Here is a 19,908-nt window from a genome sequence, read left to right as displayed (position 1 = left end):
GGGGAGTCACATGCAGGATGGCTTTGAGAGGAGGCGAGGTAAGAAGGCTGAGGGCCGGGACACAAGCGCCTCCTCAGCTTCTTCTTCTGCAGGATGAGACGAGGCACCTCTAGGGCTCAAAGTCACTTATAGCCACGACCACCCATGTGCGTCTCAGGCAGCTCTTTTTCCCCAGGCTTACCTCTGAGAGGTCCCTTTGGGCCTGGTGGAAGGACCCCTGATGTTGGGCACAGGGAGGCTGTGTTCTCTGAGCAGCTCTGCCAGAGGGGCGGGCAGGGGACCTCAGTGCCCTGGTGGGCAGAGGTGGTCCCTGGCTGCTCCACTGCTCAGAATGGGGAAGGGACAGGGTGTGTTCCCCCACCCCTGCTCAGGGTGGACTATCTCCATCCCCCATCAGGCAGCCCCTGAACAGCAAGCAGCTCCAGCTGGGAAAGCTGGTCTCTAAAGGGCTGCTCCACCCATTTACTAAGAACCTTATTAAGGGAAATCCTTGAACCTATTCAGTGACTGAACACATTCTTCTCAGCAACATTTTAAGGAATGTTCACTTTGTTGAAGGATTCTTATAAACCTGTTAGTGAATTTTGCTATTTTTTAATTGAGGGGAATAGCCCCAAACACTATATGCTCCCCCCCGAAAAATGCTAAAATGTTGGTAGAAACAGAAAATGTCCTTAAAAAAAGGATTAGAAACAAGTCGGAATAAACTAAAAAATTAACCTTAAAACACTAGAAATTTGGTCATATTAATAAGAAAATATCCATTGAATATATCAAAGAAGGAAATATTCACAAATGCTTATAAAATACATGAAACATTATCCTTAAAGCAAGATTTTGGGAAATGGGTAAATTTGGTAAACTTGGAGAATTGGTCATTTTGCAATTTGAGTTTCAGTGAGTTAGCCATTTGGCTGGGAATTGATTTTTGGCAAACTGAGTCTCCCAGATTTGACCTTGGGGGCCTGGCCTGGGCCCCTCCTGCTCCCTCTCCTGCGCTGACCAGCCTTTGCCCCAACCCATGCCCACATCATCACTTAGAGCTCAGGGGAGGGTCCGATACCCCCTTGCTGGCCTAATTGTCATTACCTGCCGGCCCCTCTAGTGTCACTCTAAGTCCCAACATGAGTCGGAGCTCAGGGAGAAGCTCTGTTGGGGAAGCCAGTGTTCTGGGCTCAGCTCTGCAGACTTGCTGTGTGACCTTGAATAAATCACTTAATCTCTCTGGGCCTGGTGGGGAGGGATCTCAGGTGACTTCTCGGATGAGTGAGGTCTGAGCTGTTTCTCCTGCATGTATTTCTTGAGTGCCTCCTGCATGCGAGGTACTGGACAGGGTGCTGGAGATGCAACAAGAAACCGAGGGGTCCCTGCCCTGGGGCAGCTCACTGTCTGGCTGGGGACACAGGCACTCACCAAATCATCACATGGGTGGATGGGGGATTGTTACACAAACCGTGTCGGAAGCCCCGAGATCTACGGAGCAGAGAAGCTCTGCACACACTCGTAGCACTCAGTCCTCCTCCCTCCATCTTCCTGGCATCACCTCCCCCGAAGCCACCTTCACTTCCCCAGCTCAGAGTCTGCTTCTGAGGGAGCCCAAACCAAGGCAATGGTGTTTGGAAGAGTTTAGGTTTGTTGCGGATATCTAAAGATGGGGGTGAAATCTCAGAAAGTTCAGCTTTCTGGTGTCTCTTAAAGATAATCTGCGGTTCTGCTGTGCTGAGAACATTCGACTGAGCAGAGTGGAGCCGCCCACTGGGCGGGGTCGTGTTCACCAAAGGCCCCACCTGGGCCTCTTCACCTGGGTGTTACCCGCCTGCCCCTGCAGGTGTTGGAGATGTGAGCTCTGGGTGCCATCACCTCTGAGGGCCTTTTCCATTCCGATTTCCATCATGCCAACCTCCACCCACCTCGAGAAGCCCTCCCTGCGCACTTGTCCCAGTTCTAACCTTCCATCATTGCTTGCTGTCCGGGTGAAGAATAGGAGGGCACCCATGGTCCCTTCCGCAGCCCCCTCATATGACACTCCCCGGATTTCAGCATCTCTACCCTGCCTCCTCTGCCTTACCTGTGGGCAATTCTTTAATTAAAAAAATATTTTTGTAGAGACAGGGTCTTGCCATGTTGCCCAGGCCGGTCTTGAACTCCTGAGCTCAAGTGATCCTCCCGTGTTGGCCTCCTAAAGTGGGAGGATTACAGGTGTGAGCCACCACGCCTGGCCACCTGTGGGCAGTTTTTAGCCAACCCCAGGCAGAAGTCAGCTGTCTTGGAGATGTTTAATGCTGCTCTGAGTATGGTATGTGGGTGTGACAGAGAAAGTGGGGATCACTGTTGTGATGGGCAGAAACACCCTCTTCAAAAGCTGTAAGAGAAGGGCCCCTGAATGTCCTTCCTGCAACAGATGACAGAGGAACAGGAAGGACATTTCAGCTGGGTCAGCAGATTCTGGCCTGAGGAAGGATGGGACACCAGTGTTCAGATGCTCACAGGGGATCAGCAGTCCTGGGGACTCCACTTTTTTTTTTTTTTTTGAGACAGAGTCTCTGTCACCCATGCTGGACGGCAGGGGCATGGTCTCGGCTCACTGCAACCTCCGCCTCCCAGGTTCAAGCAATTCTCCTGTCTCAGCCTCCTGAGTAGCTGGGATTACAGGTGTGTACTACCATGCCTGGCTAATTTTTTGTATTTTTAGTAGAGATGGGGTTTCACCGTGCTAGCCAGGATGGTCTCTATCTCCTGACCTTGTGATCTGCCTGCCTTGGCCTCCCAAAGTACTGGGATTACAGGCATGAGCCACCATGCCCGGTCATGTAGTTCCTGATTTCTTAGGGAAAATGCAGCCTTCAAAAAAAGTTTCTATGAAGAATTGAAATTAGGTCAGAACAGGAGAAGAATTTGTGTTCTAGCCGGAGGGACCCCCTTGACCCCCAGCCCCCAGGAATGCTTGTTCGGGCTTGGTCCCTTCTCATCTGGCCCTCACCCCCACCCTGTGTCATTGTCTTCTCCAGCTACTGGTTCATGTTGATCCAGACCAGGCATGTGTGGGCCTTGCCGGGGGTGGGGGCACAGGTGGGTGCTGGGTGCTCTTGGATGGCAGTGGGGCCAGGGCTGGACACAGCTGGAGGGACTCAGCCCAGTGGAGGGACAGCCTTTTGTAATGAGAGTCACTTGGCTCTAGAATTACTGTTGCCTTGAAGCCAGAGGACCCCTTGGTGTTGAGGGGGTTGTCTATGGGCCTCCGTAACTCACACGATCACCTTATAAGCCAGAAATAGGATGTTACCCCACCAGCCAGATACATGATCTTCACCAAGAAAGGCCGAGAAGTGATTCCCACAAGCCAGAGATGACCAGTTTGTTTGTTTGTTTTTTTGCCGCAGAATCATGTCAACTAAGACCCCAGGATACTGTTTCCCCATGGATGCCATGTGGCTCACCCATGGTGGGGACCCTCCTGACCGCTTATTTGAGGCACCTTCTCAACTTCAAAGTCCGTGGAACGGGAAATAGGAATCCCAAGGGGGCTCAGAATAGAGAAGCTGAAACTTTTGGGAGGCTGTATTTCCCCAGATTTCCTCCCAGGGCCCCGCCCTCTCTAGCCTGGGTAACCCTCTCTCTGGGGGAGTGGAGAAACACCGCAGCGCTCCATGAGCTCCAGGCCTCTGGACTTCCTCCTGTGATGGCTTTTGATGCCATCACGCCCAAGGGAGGCAGTCAAAGGGCTTAACCACCACCTGGCAAGGGCTCCGAGCTGAGGGTCTTGGAGGCAGAATCCTTTAGTTGCTGAGGTCCTTGTGGAGCACCAGAGGTGAACAAAGGGGTGCAGGTGTTAAAGTATTTTAACACTTTAGCAGCAGGCACAGCTCGCTGGCCCTGGAGGGGTTCTCACAGTGGACCCAGGCCCCCTAGGGAACAAAGACCTTTGCGTCTCACTAACTGATATGATTGGCTGTGTCTCCACCCAAGTCTCATCATGAATTGTAACTCCCATAATTCCCACCTGTTGTGGGAGGGACCCGGTGGGAGATTATTGAATCCTGGGGGCAATTTCCCCCATACTTTTCTCATGGTAGTGAATAAGTCTCACGAGATCTGATGGTTTTATCAGGGGAAACCCCTTTTGCTTGGTTCTCATTCTCTCTTGTCTGCTGCCATGTAAGACATGACTTTCACCTTCTGCCATGATTGTGAGGCCTCCTCAGCCACGTGGAACTGTGAGTCCCTTAAACCCCTTTTTCATTACCCAGTCTTGGGTATGTCTTTATCAGCAGCATGAAAATAGACTAATACACTCACCCAGGAAACTGAGACAGAGGAGGTGATGCTGAGCCCCAGTAGCACTAGCAAGCCCGGCTGGATGATGGTGGCCGTGTGGCCGTCAAGGCGGACCGTGGGAGGATCAGGGGTGTTGATGGTCAGTTGTATGCTCCCTCTGGACTGACTGGAAGCCTGGGTGAAATTACAGCAGAAAAGGTGCAGGCATTGACTAAAGATGGCTTTCCTCAGCTCCCAGCTTGGAAGAACGGGGGCAAGGCTATCTTAGGAGTCAAGGGTCTGGGGTTCTGTTCTAGCACTGCAGCAACTTGCTGTGTGACCTTGGCCAGGTCACTTACCCTCCCTGGGCTTTTTGGAGGTGGGATAACATCCTCCTTCTCCTGAACATACATAGCAGGTAAGAGTATAGAGTTTTGGAACCGGAGTTCCAGCTCCACCACTGGGAAGCTGTGTGGCCTGAGGCAAGTTTCTTAATCTCTCTGTGCTTTGATTTTCACACTTGTAAAATAGGGATAATAATTGCAACTAGCCCAGAGGTTGTTGTGAAGATTCAATGAGTTAATTTGTATAAAGTGCTTAGAAAAGAACCCGGCACCTAGTACTGCCATATACTTGTCAGCTGTTGTGGTTATTGTTACTGCTTGTCTATCAGGGGCTCTGTTCTGAAACACTTTGGAGAAAGGACATTGAGCAAGGATCTTGGAGTCAGGGACGGGGTTCCAATCCTGGTTCTACCATTTACTGAGCGATGTGAGCTTGGGCGAGTGAGCTCACCTTGCTGAGCCTCAGTTTGCTCACCTGTAGAAGGGGGTGACAGTGCAGGGTTACTGGAGGGTTGCACTGATGTAGTGGGAGGGACCTGTGTACAGTCACTGCCCACCATTATCTAGGTGTCCCCCCAGCAGGCTTGGGTCTTATTCAGGAGTGAATAGTAATGGCAGGCACAGGGCCATGGTCACCTGAGCTGAGCCCTGAGCTAAGTGCCTTACTTACATCATCTCATTAAATCCTCACAATGCCTGTGTAGCAGGTGCAGTGATTTTTGGAGTCCACGGCAGGAAACCCTGGCCTAAGGGAACACGCCCATGTGGCCTGACCTGGCCCAGCTCCTGTCTCAGAATCTCCCCTGAGACCCTGGCTGGGCTTCTGGAGGAGGAGCTGGCAACACACCCACCCTGGGCCTGGGCTCCAGCTCAATCCGTGACAATAGCTGAATGAGGTCTGCAGCCTGGAAAAGGGGCAAAGTGTGTGTTGGTCTTTAAAATCCTGCAGACGGGCTCTGAGCTGGCTGGTTGGGGAGGGAGCTCAGTGGGGCTCAATGAGCTGTAACTACTGGATGTACCGCCTGCCACTGGTCCGTCCCAGCGTAAGAGGAGGTTTCTCACCATGATTTATCTGGACAGGTTAACTTTGTATTGTTTCAATGATTTTTCTCCTGACATTTTATTATGAAAATGTCTATACATACAACAAAGCTGACAGGGTCTCACTCTGTCGCCCAGGCTGGAGTGCAATGGTATGATCTTGGCTCACTGCAGCCTCCGCCTCCCAGGTTCAAGCAATTCTGGTGCTTCAGCCTCCCCAGTAGCTGGGACTACAGGTGTGTACCACCACGCCTGGCTAAGTTAAATTTATTTTTCACCACATAACTAGTAAAATACAAAGAATGCCCTTGCCCACTGGTGTAAGAATTTCTGTAGATGTGGAATGACAGGCTCACTTCTGACTGTCTCAGAGCTGCCATTCCTGTGTGTGATGGACAGCCCAGCGGGGAGGCAGGAGATCTGGCTGTAGCCCTGATCCTACCCACTACGTAACCTTGGACCAGTCATATTCCCCATCTGGGCCTTGGTTTCCTAATGTGAAAAATGGAGCAATAATAGTTCTCCCCGCCCCTTTCCCCTTCTTCTAGCACTCACTGTGGAGTCCTGGGGGTCCACGTGGAACTCCTTGCTGGTGTGGAGGCAGAACAGATGTCATTGTAGACTTCCAGCCAAAAGAGCAGGTCTGCCACGCTTCCCTGGGCTGATGTTGGGAAGGGCTGGGGGGCCAGGTGCTCAGGCCTTGAGGCTCTCTGGCCCGGGCTGCAGGGGGCCACAAGCTTCATAGAAATGAAGGAAGAAGAAATTCAGTGGGAAGGGCCTCCCTGGGCAACTGGTTACAGCAAACATATTTGCAGGCTCGCTATGTGCTAGACACAGCCCTGCACATCAACATGTACAATCTCATTTGAACCTCACGACAGTGCCACAAGATGGGAACTGTCATTGTCATCATTTGACAGATGAGGAGGCTAAAGCCCAGAGAGGGGAAGTGACTTACTCAAGATCCTGCACACGGGAAGAGGTAGAGCTGGGCTTTGGACCCAGGAGCCTGGTTTCCCTGCTTCTCCCTCGTTTGGCCCATTTCCTTCTCTGCGCCTTTGTTTACAGTGCCTCCTTCCGGTCCACTCGAAGCCTCCCGTCCTCCCGATCCACCTCCTGTCATTCCATCAGGATGGGGAAGGAGCAGTGGATAGGAGCTGGGCTTTGTTTGCCAGGAGGGTGTCCATCCTAGAGGAAGTGGAGAGGGTGGCTGGTGGGGTCTGACACACCATGGCTGGCAGACTGCAGTCAGGAGGGCGAGTCAGGGCAGGGTTGAGGAAGCCCCTCTAGGCCTGTGTGGCATGGGGGCTCCAGTGGCTGCTCCTTCCCTGCCTTCCTCCTCCTGCCCCTTCTTTCTTCTCTTCCCCTCTTTCTGTTTCTGCTTGCCTTCTTGCTTTCTCCCTCCCTGATTTTCTCCTGCTTCTCTTTATTTCTTCCTGGTTCTCTCTCTGCCTCTGTCTCTTTGACAGAGTCTTGCTCTGTCACCCAGGCTGGAGTGCAGTGGTGTGATCTCAGCTTACTGCAACCTCTGCATCTGAGTTGAAATGATTCTCCTGCTCAGCCTCCCAAGTAGCTGGGATTACAGGCGCCTGCCACCACGCCTGGCTAATTTTTGTATTTTTAGTAGAGACAGGGTTTCACCATGTTGGCCAGGCTGGTCTTGAACTCCTGACCTCACGTGATCCACCTGCCTCAGCCTCCCAAAGTGCTGGGATTACAGGTATAAGCCATGGCACCCACCTGCCTCTGTCTCTTTATTTCTCTTTCTGATAAAGGTCTCTGGAATTTCTGAGCAGGGAGAGGTCACACCTGACAGTGGTCATAGAAGGATTCTTGGAGGTTTTGTGTTGGGTAAACATAAGAACGATAGATCGTGACCATTTTATGTGGTAGGCTCTGTGCTAAGTGAGTCACATGGGTTAGCTCATTTTTTTCCCCCACAACCAGCCATGCTGGTTGGGTACTGTGAGCCATTCCATTTTACTGGTGAGGAAACTGAGGCTCCTAGAGGTCAAATAACTTGGCCAGGCCCCATTGTTAGGAAGTGTCCAAGCTGAGGCTTGAACCTCAGCTCTTAGCAATGACATTTGACATGGAGGAAGGAGATGCTGATGGGTACCATCTGTGGCCTTGGAGATGACCCTGTTCCCGGTGCTCCGGCCACTCCAGACAACTAGCTGGGGAGAGGCAGTCCCAGCCCGGAGTTTCAGTGAAGGATCAGTGCAGAAAGGGCTGGCATCTGGCTGGGCAAGGCGGCTCACGCCTGTAATACTGGCACTTTGGGAGGCCGAGGTGGGCAGATCACTCGAGGTCAGGGGTTCGAGAGCAGCTTGGCCAACATGGGGAAACCCTGTCTCTACTAAAAACACAAAAATTAGCCAGGTGTGGTGGTGGGTGCCTGTAATCCCAGTTACTTGGGAGGCTGAGCAGGAGAATTGCTTGAACCTGGGAGGCGGAGGTTCCAGTGCGCCGAGATTGTGCCACTGCACTCCAGCCTGGGCAACAGAGCAAGACTCAGTCTCAAAAAAAAAAAAAAAAGAAAGAAAGAAAGGGCTGGCACGCAGCCTTGCCCAGTGGAAGCTTTGGAGCAGGCACATACTCACTGCTGCAGAGCCTCAGTGCTCAGGTGTCCAGGTGGGCTGTGGCACTCCTCACTCCTCGAAAGCCACCTTGGTGGTATTCCCTGTCTGTTCCAGCCGTACTCCAATGTGAATGCTCTTGATGACTTTGAGCCACGGGATCCTGTAGGGACAGTGTATTTGGGCAGATGAAAGTGCGGAGCCCAAAGTTGAGGCCAGAGGTCACAAGCTGATAGCCTGCCGTTGCCTGAAGGGCTCAAATTAAAAACTAGGAGGATTCATTAAAAATATGGAAAACCCAGATGATCTGACAACACTGGATCCCCTGGTCTCACAGAGTGGCAAACATCTGGGGCTGAGGGTGACCTTGAGATGGGCCATGTGCTCTCTAGTTTGCTGTGGTCCCCACCAGGCCAGTGGTCAGGTTCCATTTTTACTGCACTATCCCTACAAGGGGAATGATATGTTTACCATATTGCAGAGAAATATTTCTCTGTGTCCACGTGTCTATCAAAGAAATATTTATTTGTACTCACATCTCTATTAAAAGGGGGAAGTTTGGCCAGGAGCGGTGGCTCACCCCTGTAATCCCGGCACTTTGGAAGGCTGAGGCGGGTGGATTACTTGAGGCCAGGAGTTTGAAACCAGCCTGGCCGACATGGTGAAACCCTGTCTTTACTAAAAATAAAAAAAATTACCTGGGTGTGGTGGCGCATGCCTGTGATCCTAGCTACTCGGGAGTCTGAGGCATGAGAATTGCTTGAATCTGGGAGGCAGAGGTTGTGGTGAGCCCAGATCGCGCCACTGCACTCCAGCCTGGGCAACAGAGCAAGATTCTGTCTGAAAAAAATAAAAAAAAAGAAAAAAAGGTGGAAGCTAGATGAAGAGAGCCAAATTTTACAAGAAAAACAAGAGTGGACACGTTCCTAAAGGGCATTTAGGAATATTTCTGTTTTACTTGCAAACACTGGTTTGTATCACTGCCTCTGTTGGCTGTTGTGTTTGCAACCTCTGGTCTGTCCAATCAGCTGCAGTTCAGAATTTTGCAGGTGAACTCTCACAACAGCCTAGTGCAGCAGGAAACCAGAATTATATCTTTTTTTTTTTTTTTTGAGACGGAGTCTTGCTCTATCGCCCAGGCTGGAGTGCAATGGCACAATCTCGGCTCACTGCAACCTCCATCTCCCAGGTTCAATCGATTCTCCTGCCTCACCCTCTCAAGTAGCTGGGATTACAGGCGCCCACCACCATGCCCAGCTAATTTTTGTGTTTTTAGTAGAGACAAGGCTTCACCATGTTGGCCAGGCTAGTCTCAAGCTCCTCACCTCAAGTGATCTGCCCACCTCAGCTTCCCAAAGTGCTGGGATTACAGGCCTGAGCCATCGTGCCTGGCCAATTATACCCATTTTATAGATGAGGAAGCCGAAGCCCAGAGAATGGACACCTCTTGCCCAAGTTGCCCAGCCCAGGAGTGCCAGACTCCAAGGCGTGCTTGAACCACACCTTCCTCGGGTAATCCTGTTAATACACTGTCCTGCCCATTTGCTCAGATGGGCTCACGTCCCCTGACATGAAAGTCAGAGGGTTTTATCCAACCTGCACCACCGACTTACTGTGTGTTCCTGGGCAGGTTCTTCTCCCACTCCGTGCTTCAGTTTCCTTATCAGTAAAAATGGCTTTGAAACACGCCCAAGTGGAAAGGATCGTGTGGTGACATGAGGCATGTGACTTTTGCTAGCCCTGCATGGCTGCCTCTTGATTCATGGCAGTGAGGGGTTGGTCTGCCTGGCACCCAAATGGGTGATGCGGAAGTGCCCGTGTGTACTTACTCCTGGAGTGAGAGGTACAGTTTGCAGCGCAACGTGACCTGCAGCAGGCTATCACTTAGGATTTGCAGGGTGATCTCAGGTCTTTTGGCGTCTTCTATGACCAACCTGTGAGAGGCATGGAGGATGTTGGTGTGGCCTGGCCAGGCCTCTGTGACTCTGTGGGGTGTGAGTATCCGGATCTGCTGGAATAGGGGCAGAGCCCAGGAGGGGTGGGAGCAGCTTTGGGACAACCCCTTCCCTTGCCCCCAGCCCAGCTGTAGAACGCTGAGCTCTAGTTCCATTCTCCAAGGCTTGACGACCCAGGCAAGTCCCTTCCCTTCTCTGGGCCTCCGTGTCAGCCTCTGTAAAATGGGGGAGGGAACAGTAGAGGAGCGTAAGCATCTGCAAAAGAGAAGCAGGCCAGCGAGAGTCAGGGAAGGCAAGGTGGCAGGTAAGCCCTCTGCCATCTGCTCAGGACCCATCTGCTCTGCTCCCTTCTGCACCATCAGCTACCAGCACCTCCCTGAGCTGAGAGGAGCCGAGTTTTAGGTATTTTTTGAACGTTAGGTACAAGCTGGTGACTCATCTGGTGCCCACTGGAAGAGGCAGCAACAAATTCAAATGCCAGAGGAAAACTTTTCTGGGTCAGGCTCCCTGCTGTATATCTGCCTTTAGCACGGATTTTTTTTTTTTTTTGAGATGGTGTCTCGCTATGTTGTCCAGGCTGGAATGCAGTGGCTATTCACAGGTGCAATCACATTACAAATTCCTGGGCTCAAGCGATCCTCCTCTCCAGCCTCCTGAGAAGCTGGGACTACAAATGTGTGTCACTGTGCCGGCTCTGGTGGGTTTTGTTTGTTTGTTTGTTTTTGAGATGGAGTCTCAGTCTGTTGCCCAGGTTGGAGTGCAGTGGTGTGATCTTGGCTTACTGCAACCTCTGCCTCCCAGGTTCAGGTGATTCTCCTGCCTCAGCCTCCCAGTCAGCTGGAATTACAGGTGCGTGCCACCACACCTGGCTGATTTTTGTATTTTTATTAGAGACTGGTCTTTACCATGTTGACTAGGCTGTTCTCGAACTCCTGATCTCAAGTGATCCACCCGCCTTGGCCTCCCGAAGTGCTGGGATTACAGGTGCGAGCCCTCTTGCCTTACCTGGAGGTTTTGTTTTGAGACAGAGACTTACTCTGTTGCCCAGGCTGGAGTCGCAGTGTCACAATCATGGATTGCTGCAGCCTTGAACTCCAGGGCTCAGGTGATCCTCACACCTCAGATTCCAGGGTAGCTGGGACTACAGGCACGCGTCACCATGCCTGGCTAATTTTTGTATTTTTTGTGGAGATGGGGTTTTATCATGTTGCCCAGGCTGGTTTTGAACTCCTAGGTTCAAATGATCTGCCCATCTTGGCCTCCCAAAGTGCTGGGATTACTGATGTCGGCCGCTGTGCCTGTGACAATATGTTTCTGTTGTCCAGGGTGCTCAGTTTGTATTAATAGTACTTTGTTATGGCAGTCCTCACAATCTAATACAATTGGGAAACCCAGATTTTGATTAAAATCTTCTTGATTTTTATATGTTGGCAATTCATTAAAAATATTTTTCAAAAACCTATGTAGGTTTGCAGAAAACCCAGTTGTAGGCTGAGTGTAGGGAGCAGGAGGGCTGCCGGGCTGAGGTCCCAGATTGAGACCCTACTTTCTTCCTAGGAAGATTTCAAGCAGCTTGGAGAGACATAGGGTCAAGAAAAGTAGACTTGCTTAGCACTTTCCAGGCTATAGAGAACCTCCAAAGACACCGTGCTGAGAACACAGCTGCTCAGGGTACCAGGAAAGGCCAGAGGCAGTCCTAGCCCTCCACTTATCCACCTGCCCTGAGTAGCTCCCACAGCAGGGGGAGGCTCTTCCCTGAAAGCAGTTCCCCGACCGACCTGCGACAGGTCCAGCCCACTGCTCTTCTTGGAGAGGCGTTTGCCTACAAAGGGCAGGTGGTCCAGGACAGCAACACCTTTGCTCCTGGCCCCTGTCACAGGCAGGCTGAGCATGCAGTCCAGGGTGTAGTGCTCTGAGAACAGGTCTGAACTGTCCGAGGATGCAAGCCCCGCTTCAGTGTGGGGCTGTACTGTTCATTCAACCTTTCACCAAATTCACTCAGTCATTTGGCAGCCAGCACTTACTGAGTGCTTACTCTCTCCTGGGCTCAAGGGACAGAAGCAGTGTGGCTCCTGCCCTCATGGAGTTTACTTCCTGGTAGGGAGAGAGACAAAAGCCGAGCACTCAGATCAGCAAGCAAGGCAATATTCCAGAGTGATCTGTGCAAAAGAAAAAATACAGTGGAGTCGGAGCATGACTGGGTGAAGATCTGTTTCTGATGGGGTGAAAAGGAAGCGCCTCTCTGAGGAGGAGGCCTCTGAGCTGAGGCCTGAGTGAGGTGGAGGAATCCATCATGCAGGCTGATCTCGGGGACAGCCATGGTGGCAGAGGGAACAGAACGTGCAAAGGCCCTGAGGTGCTGGTGAGCCTGGCGTGGTAGGAAACAGAAAGATAAGTGAGGCTGCAGCGTGGCGAGCGGGGATGGGGCTGGATGGATGACAAACAGCTCAGTCAGGAGTTAGGGACAGAGGCAGCCAGCCCTACAGACAGATGGGACAGCAGGCGCAGCACACTTGGATAAGGCCGCAGAGGAGACGTCACCAAAGGGCTGTGGGAACTCAGAGGAAGGAGAGATCCCTTCTGCCTGGGGAAATCGAGAGGAATTCCCAGAGGAGGTGGTTAGAACTTTGCGTTCAAGCATGGGCCCAGATGCACCAGGTTGAGCAGGAGAGAAAGGCATTTCAGGCCAGAGGAACAGCCTAGCACAGGAGGGAGCTGTGAAGTCTGTGGGGGTGGTCAGGGAAGGAGGCAGTGGAAGAGGCTGGAGATGCAGGGCCTTGAATGCCAGGATAAGGGGCTCAGAGGTTCTCCTGAGGGCACTGAGGAGCCATGGCAAGTGTTAGAGCAGGGGAGAGACAGGATCAGCTCTGGGTGAGGTAAGGTGAATTCTGTGGCAAGGGGGAGGCCTGTACAGGAGAAGCATTGAGCAGGGAGGTGGTGCCGTCTCCCACCCCTGGCCTTTCCTGAGTTCATGCCTCTGACGCTCACCCCTTAACATTTACCTGTTTCCCACTGATTCTTGTCCTCTGAAGGCAGAGTAGGTGCTGGGCCTTCCCCTGGGCCTGGGGCAGCAGCGTCCAGCAAGCAGTGACATCCAGAGCAGCAGCATTCTCTTGGCCAGGACCTGCAGACACAGAGGTGGGAGCCTTGACGTCCTCACCGGGGCCCTGTCACTGTGTATCTCCCAGCTCTGCCTCTCCTAGGACCATCTCTCCAGCTTTCCTTCCCTTGCCTCTGCCCCCAGCTCCAGATCCGCTAGTCCTCGAACACAGCCTGCACTTCCTGCCACTGTACATTTGTGCTTGTGGATCCCTCGGCCTGGAGTGCCCTTCTCCAGAGCGTGGGCTGGCTTCAAAGCTGGGCCCTGCCACTTCCTGAGGGTGGGACCTGAGCAAGTCACAGGACCTCTTCATGCCTCAGTTTTCTCATCTGTAAAATGGGGACAATTCTAGGTCGTTGTGAGGAATATGTTCCATAATATGTGCAAAGCACTTAGCAAGCAGTGAGTGCCCAACAGCTGTTAATATGGTTGGATGACATTGTGAGAGGTTAAAGGATGTATTACTTCCCCCTTTTTTTTGAGACAGGGTCTTGCCTTGTCACCCAGGCTGGAATGTAGTGGCACAATCTTGGCTCACTGCAGCCTCGACTTCCCAGACTCAAGGAATCCTCCTGCCTCAGCCTCCAAGTAGCTGAGACTACAGGAGCATGCCACTATGCACAGCTAATTTTTGTATTTTTAGCAGAGGCTAGATTTCGCCATGTTGCCCAGTTTGGTCTCGAACTCTTGGACTCAAGCGATCCTCCTGTGTTGGCCTCCTAAAGTGCCGCGATTACAAGTGTGAGTCATTCCTCATAGCCTAGCACTTCCTTTTAACACTGGAGGCTTCTGGATCTTGAGTTTGCTATGGGATAGAGGTTCTGGGGGAGGTGTCAGAGAGGTGGTAGCGGTAGGCACCTGGGGGGCTTAAAGCTACAGATCTTTACCAGCTAGCAGAGAAATATTCCAAACACTGCATTTGTACCACCAGTTCCTACCAGCAGAACCTCAGCCCTGCCACGTGTCTGAAAGGGCATAGCTGGGACCCCAGAATCTGCAGGCAGGGGCTGTCTGGGTGGGCAGGAGCATTCCACTAGGAAACGAAGCTTCTGGAACTGCAAGGCAGGGACCAGCCAAAATGCAGACATCTCTAGGGCAGATGTCACTATAAACAGGGCCCACAGAGGAGCTACCATTGCCCTCCATGCCATGCCCATGAAGAAGCCACCCAGAGGGTAGACGCTGCCCTTGAGCAAGGCGAGGAGACCCCTGAAGTGGCTAAGCCTACGCTGGAGTGCCTTAGAATGTCCTGGCATTGCCTTGAGTATCCAGTTTTTTGCTACTTGGTGGCACAGGATTTCAAAACAGTGACCAAATCGGATAACGGAAAGAGAATGGTTTTGTGTTTGTTTGCATACACAAACTGCTTTGTATTGATTGGGCTGTGAAATTTGTGCTTGTGGCATTTGCTCTTCCAAGCTGATGTCAAATGCATCCACTATTCATCCAACCAGCACTTAGTCAGTCTCTGTGTCAAACACTTTTCTCTATCAGTTCACTCAAGTCAGATCTCTTTCCCCCATTGCCCTCAGCACAGCACACTCATCTTTCCACCCTCTCCACTTCCTGGGTTGAGCCAGCCATACCGACCCTGACTTCTGGAGTCCATACTATGTGCCAGGCACCATGCTGAGGGCTGCACAAGCTTCATCGCATCATTGAGTCCTCACCCCAATGGTCTCAGATCATTGATATCAGGCCCAAGATACAGATGATGAAACTGAGGCTCAGAATGGAGAGATAACTTACCCAAGGTGACACAGGTAGTGAGTGGCAGAGCCGGCATTCCGGCCCAGGTTCGCCTGGTGCTAAAAATCTGTGTGCCACTTCACAACGTTTTTATAGGTGCTCAAGAAATATTTGAGAAATGCCCCGTTGACCTCCTTGGCCTTACATCTCCAAGAATGGGGTTATCTGGAATCTCTCCTTGGCCTCTGTCTCCAGCTTCCCAGAAAGACAACTTTTTTAACCTGAGCTCAGAAGCCCAGGCGGGTGGGTACCCGGGCAGGAAGTCCAGCCCCTTGGCCAGGCTTGCGGCTCAGAGGAGCTCTTCAGTGGAGGGAGAGGTCCTCTTGGCACTGGGTGGCAAGGGGCTTCTGGCCAAAACTGAGGCTGGAGGGGCAGGCCCTGAGTCCTGGACCAACAGGCTTTAGGGAGGAGGCGGGTGGGGCCCTGTGATTTTGAGAGTGGGTCATTTCCGTTTGGAACGTCCTTGGAGCTGTGGAGCCCTGGTAGGGACCCCAGCTCTCGGGAGGGGCCCTGCGGGGGCTCCTAGTACAGGATGTGGCAGTCATAGAACCCACGGGAGTGATTGTGTGGGGGTGAGGCAGAGGGAGGAGAGCAGGTGGGTGGCAAGGGCCAGGCAGGGGGGCTCTGGGGTCCACCTTCTGGTAGCCATTCTCTATAGTCTTTTAAAAAATTTTTTAATTTTAAAATTACTTTCAAGCTCTGCCGAGTCTCAGGACCTATGCCCTTTCTGTCTAGGTTGTCCAAGCCATCAGTTTTTGCTATGACGTGGTCACCAATGGCATGGTCTCTGCAGCCAGACAGGCCTGGGCTCAAACTGCCACCTTCAATCAGGAGCTGTGTGACTGTGGGCAAGTGGCTTTCTCTTCTGAGCCTCACTTTTCGTGTCTGTAACATGGGAATGATAGATCCATTTATGTCTTTTTGGTATGGTGAAGGTTCGTTAAGGCAACTCAGTACAGGGCCTAGCATATAGGAAGTGTTCAAAAAGTTATTTCTTTTAACTTCCATTTTATGGATGAGAAAACTGAGACTCAGAGACGTTAAGTACCTTGCTCTGGGTCACACAGCATGTCCATGATAAAGCTGGGATTTGAAATCAGGGCCCAGAGAGGGGTCTGACCACTCAGTGAAAGAGAAATTTGGTGTCACTATGCCACGCAGCTCCAAGACTCGGAGACCTAGCTCCCAACCAAACTGCTGTGCCAGGGTCCTTTGATGTGGGAATCCTGGCATCCCCACTGCGAGTGTGCACAGCTGGCTGTGTCAGCATTGACGGCTTCATTAATTGCTGTCTAGTATGGGCACCCCAATGGCAGGTGTGACTCTTCTCTAGGTGGATTTTGGATTTTTCACAGGGTTTCCTCCTGGGGTTAATGTCTTTCCCTTTCACAACTCAGAGGCATGGACAGAGCAGGTGTTAAACTGTGTTCTTTGGCTGGAGACCTGGGGCAGAGAGGCTGACAATGGAAGGGCAAGTTCTTTTTTTTTTTTCTTTTTTTGAGATGGAGTCTCTCTCTGTTGCCCAGGCTAGAGTTCAGTGGCGTGATCTCGGCTCACTGCAACCTCCGCCTCCCAGGTTCAAGTGATTCTCCTGCCTCAGCCTCCCGAGTAGCTGGGACTACAGGTGCGTGCCACCATGTCTGGCTAATTTTTGTATTTTTATTAGAGACGGGGTTTCTCCATGTTGGCCAGGCTGGTCTCGATCTCTTGGCCTCGTGATCTGCCTGCCTCAGCCTCCCAAAGTGCTGGGATTACAGGCATGAGCCACCGTGCCCAACCTGAAGGGTGGGGTCTAGAAGACAGCAGCTGTGCAGGAAGCACAAGGTCAATGGCAGCTCTGAAGTTCTCGTTTTGGCTAACCTCAAAAGCAAAGGGCTAGTGTCAGTATTAAGTTGCTGCATCAACCTAATATGACTTGGCAGCATAGATTAGATGGGATATTCTTATTTTAGAATCTCAGATTTTTTGGGTTAGAATATGATTTAAGAGTTGATAGGTCCCCTTCATTTCTGCAAACTGGGTCTCAATATTATTGTGAAGGGCTGTCTTCCTTCTGCCAAGGGCAGAGAAAAGCTCTTGGGTTAACTGCTCACCTGAGTCACCAGGAAGGCGCAGGGTGTTAGTGGAACCACTGAGGTCTTCTTTCCTTCCCAAATCTGGTCTCTAAATGAAAAAGACCGGAGCCCCACGGCCTCCATATGCTTACCTCATTGACTAATCTCTGCTGAGAGATGGGAGGTTTCATGGGGGTGTCTTCCACAAAAGGGAAGCCCTAGGCAGGACACGGAGATGGGCAAGACACTGTTACTGCCTCTCTCTGAGCCTCAGTTTATTGATCTGTAAAAGGGGAATGCTCAACTCACAGGAAGTAGATAACACTGTGCTGGGAGCAGAGGCTGCTGGTTGTTACCGTTATTTTGAAGAAAAAGAAAACTGGGGCCCGGCGCGGTGGCTCATGCCTGTAATCCCAGTACTCTGGGAGGCCGAGGCGGGTGGATCACTTGAGGTCAGGAGTTCGAGACCAGCCTGGCCAGCATGGCGAAACCCCGTCTCTACTAATAACACAAAAATCAGCCGGGCATGATGGCGCATGCCTGTAATCCCAGCTACTCGGCAGGCTGAAGCAGGAGAATTGCTTGAGCCTGGGAAGGCGGAGGTTGCAGTGAGCAGAGATTGCACCACTGTACTCTAGCCTGGGCGACAGAGTGAGACCCTGTCTCAAAAAAAAAGACATAAAGAAAGAAAGAAAATTGGATCTATAACCTGCTGTGGATTCAGCTGGGAGGCTCAGGGCAAAGTGGGTGAGGCCTGGGTTCCCGCCCCAGCCCCATCACATCACCAGCTGTTTGTTACTTCATCTCCCATCTGTAAGACAAACACAGTACTAATTCCTGCAAGGCACGATGATTTAATGAGATCTCTTGGTGTTTTCTCTTTGCTGCTGCTGCTAAGACAGCAGGAAATTGAGGAGTTTTCCTCCCGCAGCCCAGCAAGGCAGTGGAGTCGTGGAATTCCCAGCCTGGAGGAGCCTCAGCAGTTCATGGAGGGTGGTTGTGTTTCAAGGCCCAAATCAGGAGGCTGGCACAGGAGAACAACCCCTCTCTTTTTTTGGGGGAGGTGGAAACCCAAGTGGGTAGGCGATAAAGGAGCAGAGAGAAGAAGGAGGTGGTGTGGGGTAATAGTTGGGGGCTGCTTGGGAGTGGTGCAGAGTTGTCAGAGCCTTGGTTTCTTCATTTGTCAGGTGCAGGTGTGGGGGGAGCCTGTGCCACAGGCGCTGGGGAAGGTGGCGTGACCAAAGGTCTGGAAGATCCTTAGAATAGTGCCTGCCTGGAGCAAATGGCTATCTTGATTGAGGTTCACCAGAAGCAGACCCTGAGAACAGGATTGGAGTGCAGGTAGTTGATTTGGGAGATGACCCCAGGGAACACTGGTAGGGGAGTGTGGAAGTGAGGTGGGGAGGTGAGGCAACCTATAAAGAGCATATTGGGCCGGGCATGGTGGTGCACATCTATAATTCAAGCTACTTGGAATGTTGAGGCAGGAGGATAACTTGAATCTAGGAGTTTGAGGCTGCAGTAAACTGAGATTGTGTCATTGCACTCCAGCCTGGGCAACAGAGCAAGACCTTGTCTCAAAAAACAAAACAAAACAAAACAAAACAATACAAAACCAAACCAAACCCCAAACCACACCCCCCCCACCAAAAAAAAAAACTGTGTCAGCACGCTGGTTATCAGCATGGACAACTGGGGCCCAGTCCCGCTGGTGAGCTGGGAGCCTGTCTACAGCAGGTGTCCTAGAGTTGTTCCCTCCCCCAAAGGGTGAGGAAGCCAGGGTTATGTATCTGCTGACCCCCAGGAAGCCCCAGAGGGTGTGGGTGATGGGACGCGGAGGATATACGGCTCGGGCTGTTTTGGAGAAGGATCCCTGTGCCCCGCTTGGCTGGGGTGGAGGAGCTACTTGACTCTGACAGGGTCACGTGGACTGGGACAGGGATCCCTTCATCAGGACCAGGTGGGACCCAGACTAGAGGGGCTACTCCATCCTCCAGGCTCCCTGGAAGCCCCCAAAAGATCCTTGTATGACCCTAGGGAGCCAGAAGAGTCCAACCCTAGGCAAGATGGAGATGGACTTTGTCACCTCCTTTGTGAATGGGAGTTCAAATGCAGATTGAATATGATTTAGAAAAATAATGGAATGTGATGTGTGGGGAACAAAATCCTACCCAAAGTGTGGCTGGGATCTGGGATGCGTGGGGAGCTTCCACATAGCCCTGGCACTGGGCAGCTGTTTGGCTGGGAGCTGGGATGCGTGGGGAACTTCCACACAGCCCTGGCACTCAGTAGCTGTTGGGTAAGTGGTCACTGACAATGGTGTAAGCACCTTGTGCAAGGCTGTGGCCTGGTGCCTCTGTGTGCCTCTTGGCCTGGCCAATGTCCCTGGCTGCCCTTCTGGGCTGTGAGCTGTATATCTTATGCCTGTTTGTGCTCTCATGATGAGCAACGCATTTTCCTGGGATGCCTACCCTATCCCTTCCTGCAAGGCCCTCGTGTAACTGAAGGTACTGGGCAGGCCTGAGGTCTGGAGAACAGGGACCCTATTGTCTGTCCCAAGCGCCCTGACATCAGGGAGGCCAGAAAGACAAGGCAGTCATGCACTGTCTGAGCAGGATGGCACTTTGGTGATAAGGCTGAACACTCCAGAGGCCAGGCAACAGCAGTAATGACCACCCACAGACGACATTGTCTGAGTATCTACCATGTATCTGGAACTGTTCTCTCATTTACTCCTCACCAAAGCCCTCCAAGGCAGAGACAATGACTATCCCCATTTTACGGAGAAGGAAACTGAGGCCCACAGAGGGGAAACTACATCCCAGAGTCAAA

The 19,908-nt window shown here is 51.9% G+C and overlaps 1 pseudogene, besides 4 other annotated features; it reads right to left on the bottom strand.

The window, feature by feature from the left end:
- Positions 589-13,282, bottom strand: BPIFB5P (BPI fold containing family B member 5, pseudogene; annotated as a pseudogene).
- Positions 5,554-6,171: an enhancer, noted in NCBI's record as "H3K27ac-H3K4me1 hESC enhancer chr20:31911786-31912403 (GRCh37/hg19 assembly coordinates)". NCBI's record gives its function as "activates a minimal SCP1, AML or CMV promoter by ChIP-STARR-seq in primed H9 embryonic stem cells {active_cell/tissue: H9 hESC(primed)}" and the evidence as "EXISTENCE:reporter gene assay evidence [ECO:0000049][PMID:30033119]".
- Positions 7,981-8,480: an enhancer, noted in NCBI's record as "H3K27ac hESC enhancer chr20:31909477-31909976 (GRCh37/hg19 assembly coordinates)". NCBI's record gives its function as "activates a minimal SCP1, AML or CMV promoter by ChIP-STARR-seq in naive H9 embryonic stem cells {active_cell/tissue: H9 hESC(naive)}" and the evidence as "EXISTENCE:reporter gene assay evidence [ECO:0000049][PMID:30033119]".
- Positions 17,480-17,980: an enhancer, noted in NCBI's record as "H3K27ac hESC enhancer chr20:31899977-31900477 (GRCh37/hg19 assembly coordinates)". NCBI's record gives its function as "activates a minimal SCP1, AML or CMV promoter by ChIP-STARR-seq in naive H9 embryonic stem cells {active_cell/tissue: H9 hESC(naive)}" and the evidence as "EXISTENCE:reporter gene assay evidence [ECO:0000049][PMID:30033119]".
- Positions 17,981-18,481: an enhancer, noted in NCBI's record as "H3K27ac hESC enhancer chr20:31899476-31899976 (GRCh37/hg19 assembly coordinates)". NCBI's record gives its function as "activates a minimal SCP1, AML or CMV promoter by ChIP-STARR-seq in naive H9 embryonic stem cells {active_cell/tissue: H9 hESC(naive)}" and the evidence as "EXISTENCE:reporter gene assay evidence [ECO:0000049][PMID:30033119]".

This window comes from Homo sapiens, chromosome 20 (genome assembly GCF_000001405.40).
Source record: "Homo sapiens chromosome 20, GRCh38.p14 Primary Assembly".
Lineage (NCBI taxonomy): Eukaryota > Metazoa > Chordata > Mammalia > Primates > Hominidae > Homo > Homo sapiens.
The sequence above is the reverse complement of the archived record's forward strand: the minus strand, read 5'-3'. Positions and strand labels throughout refer to the sequence as shown.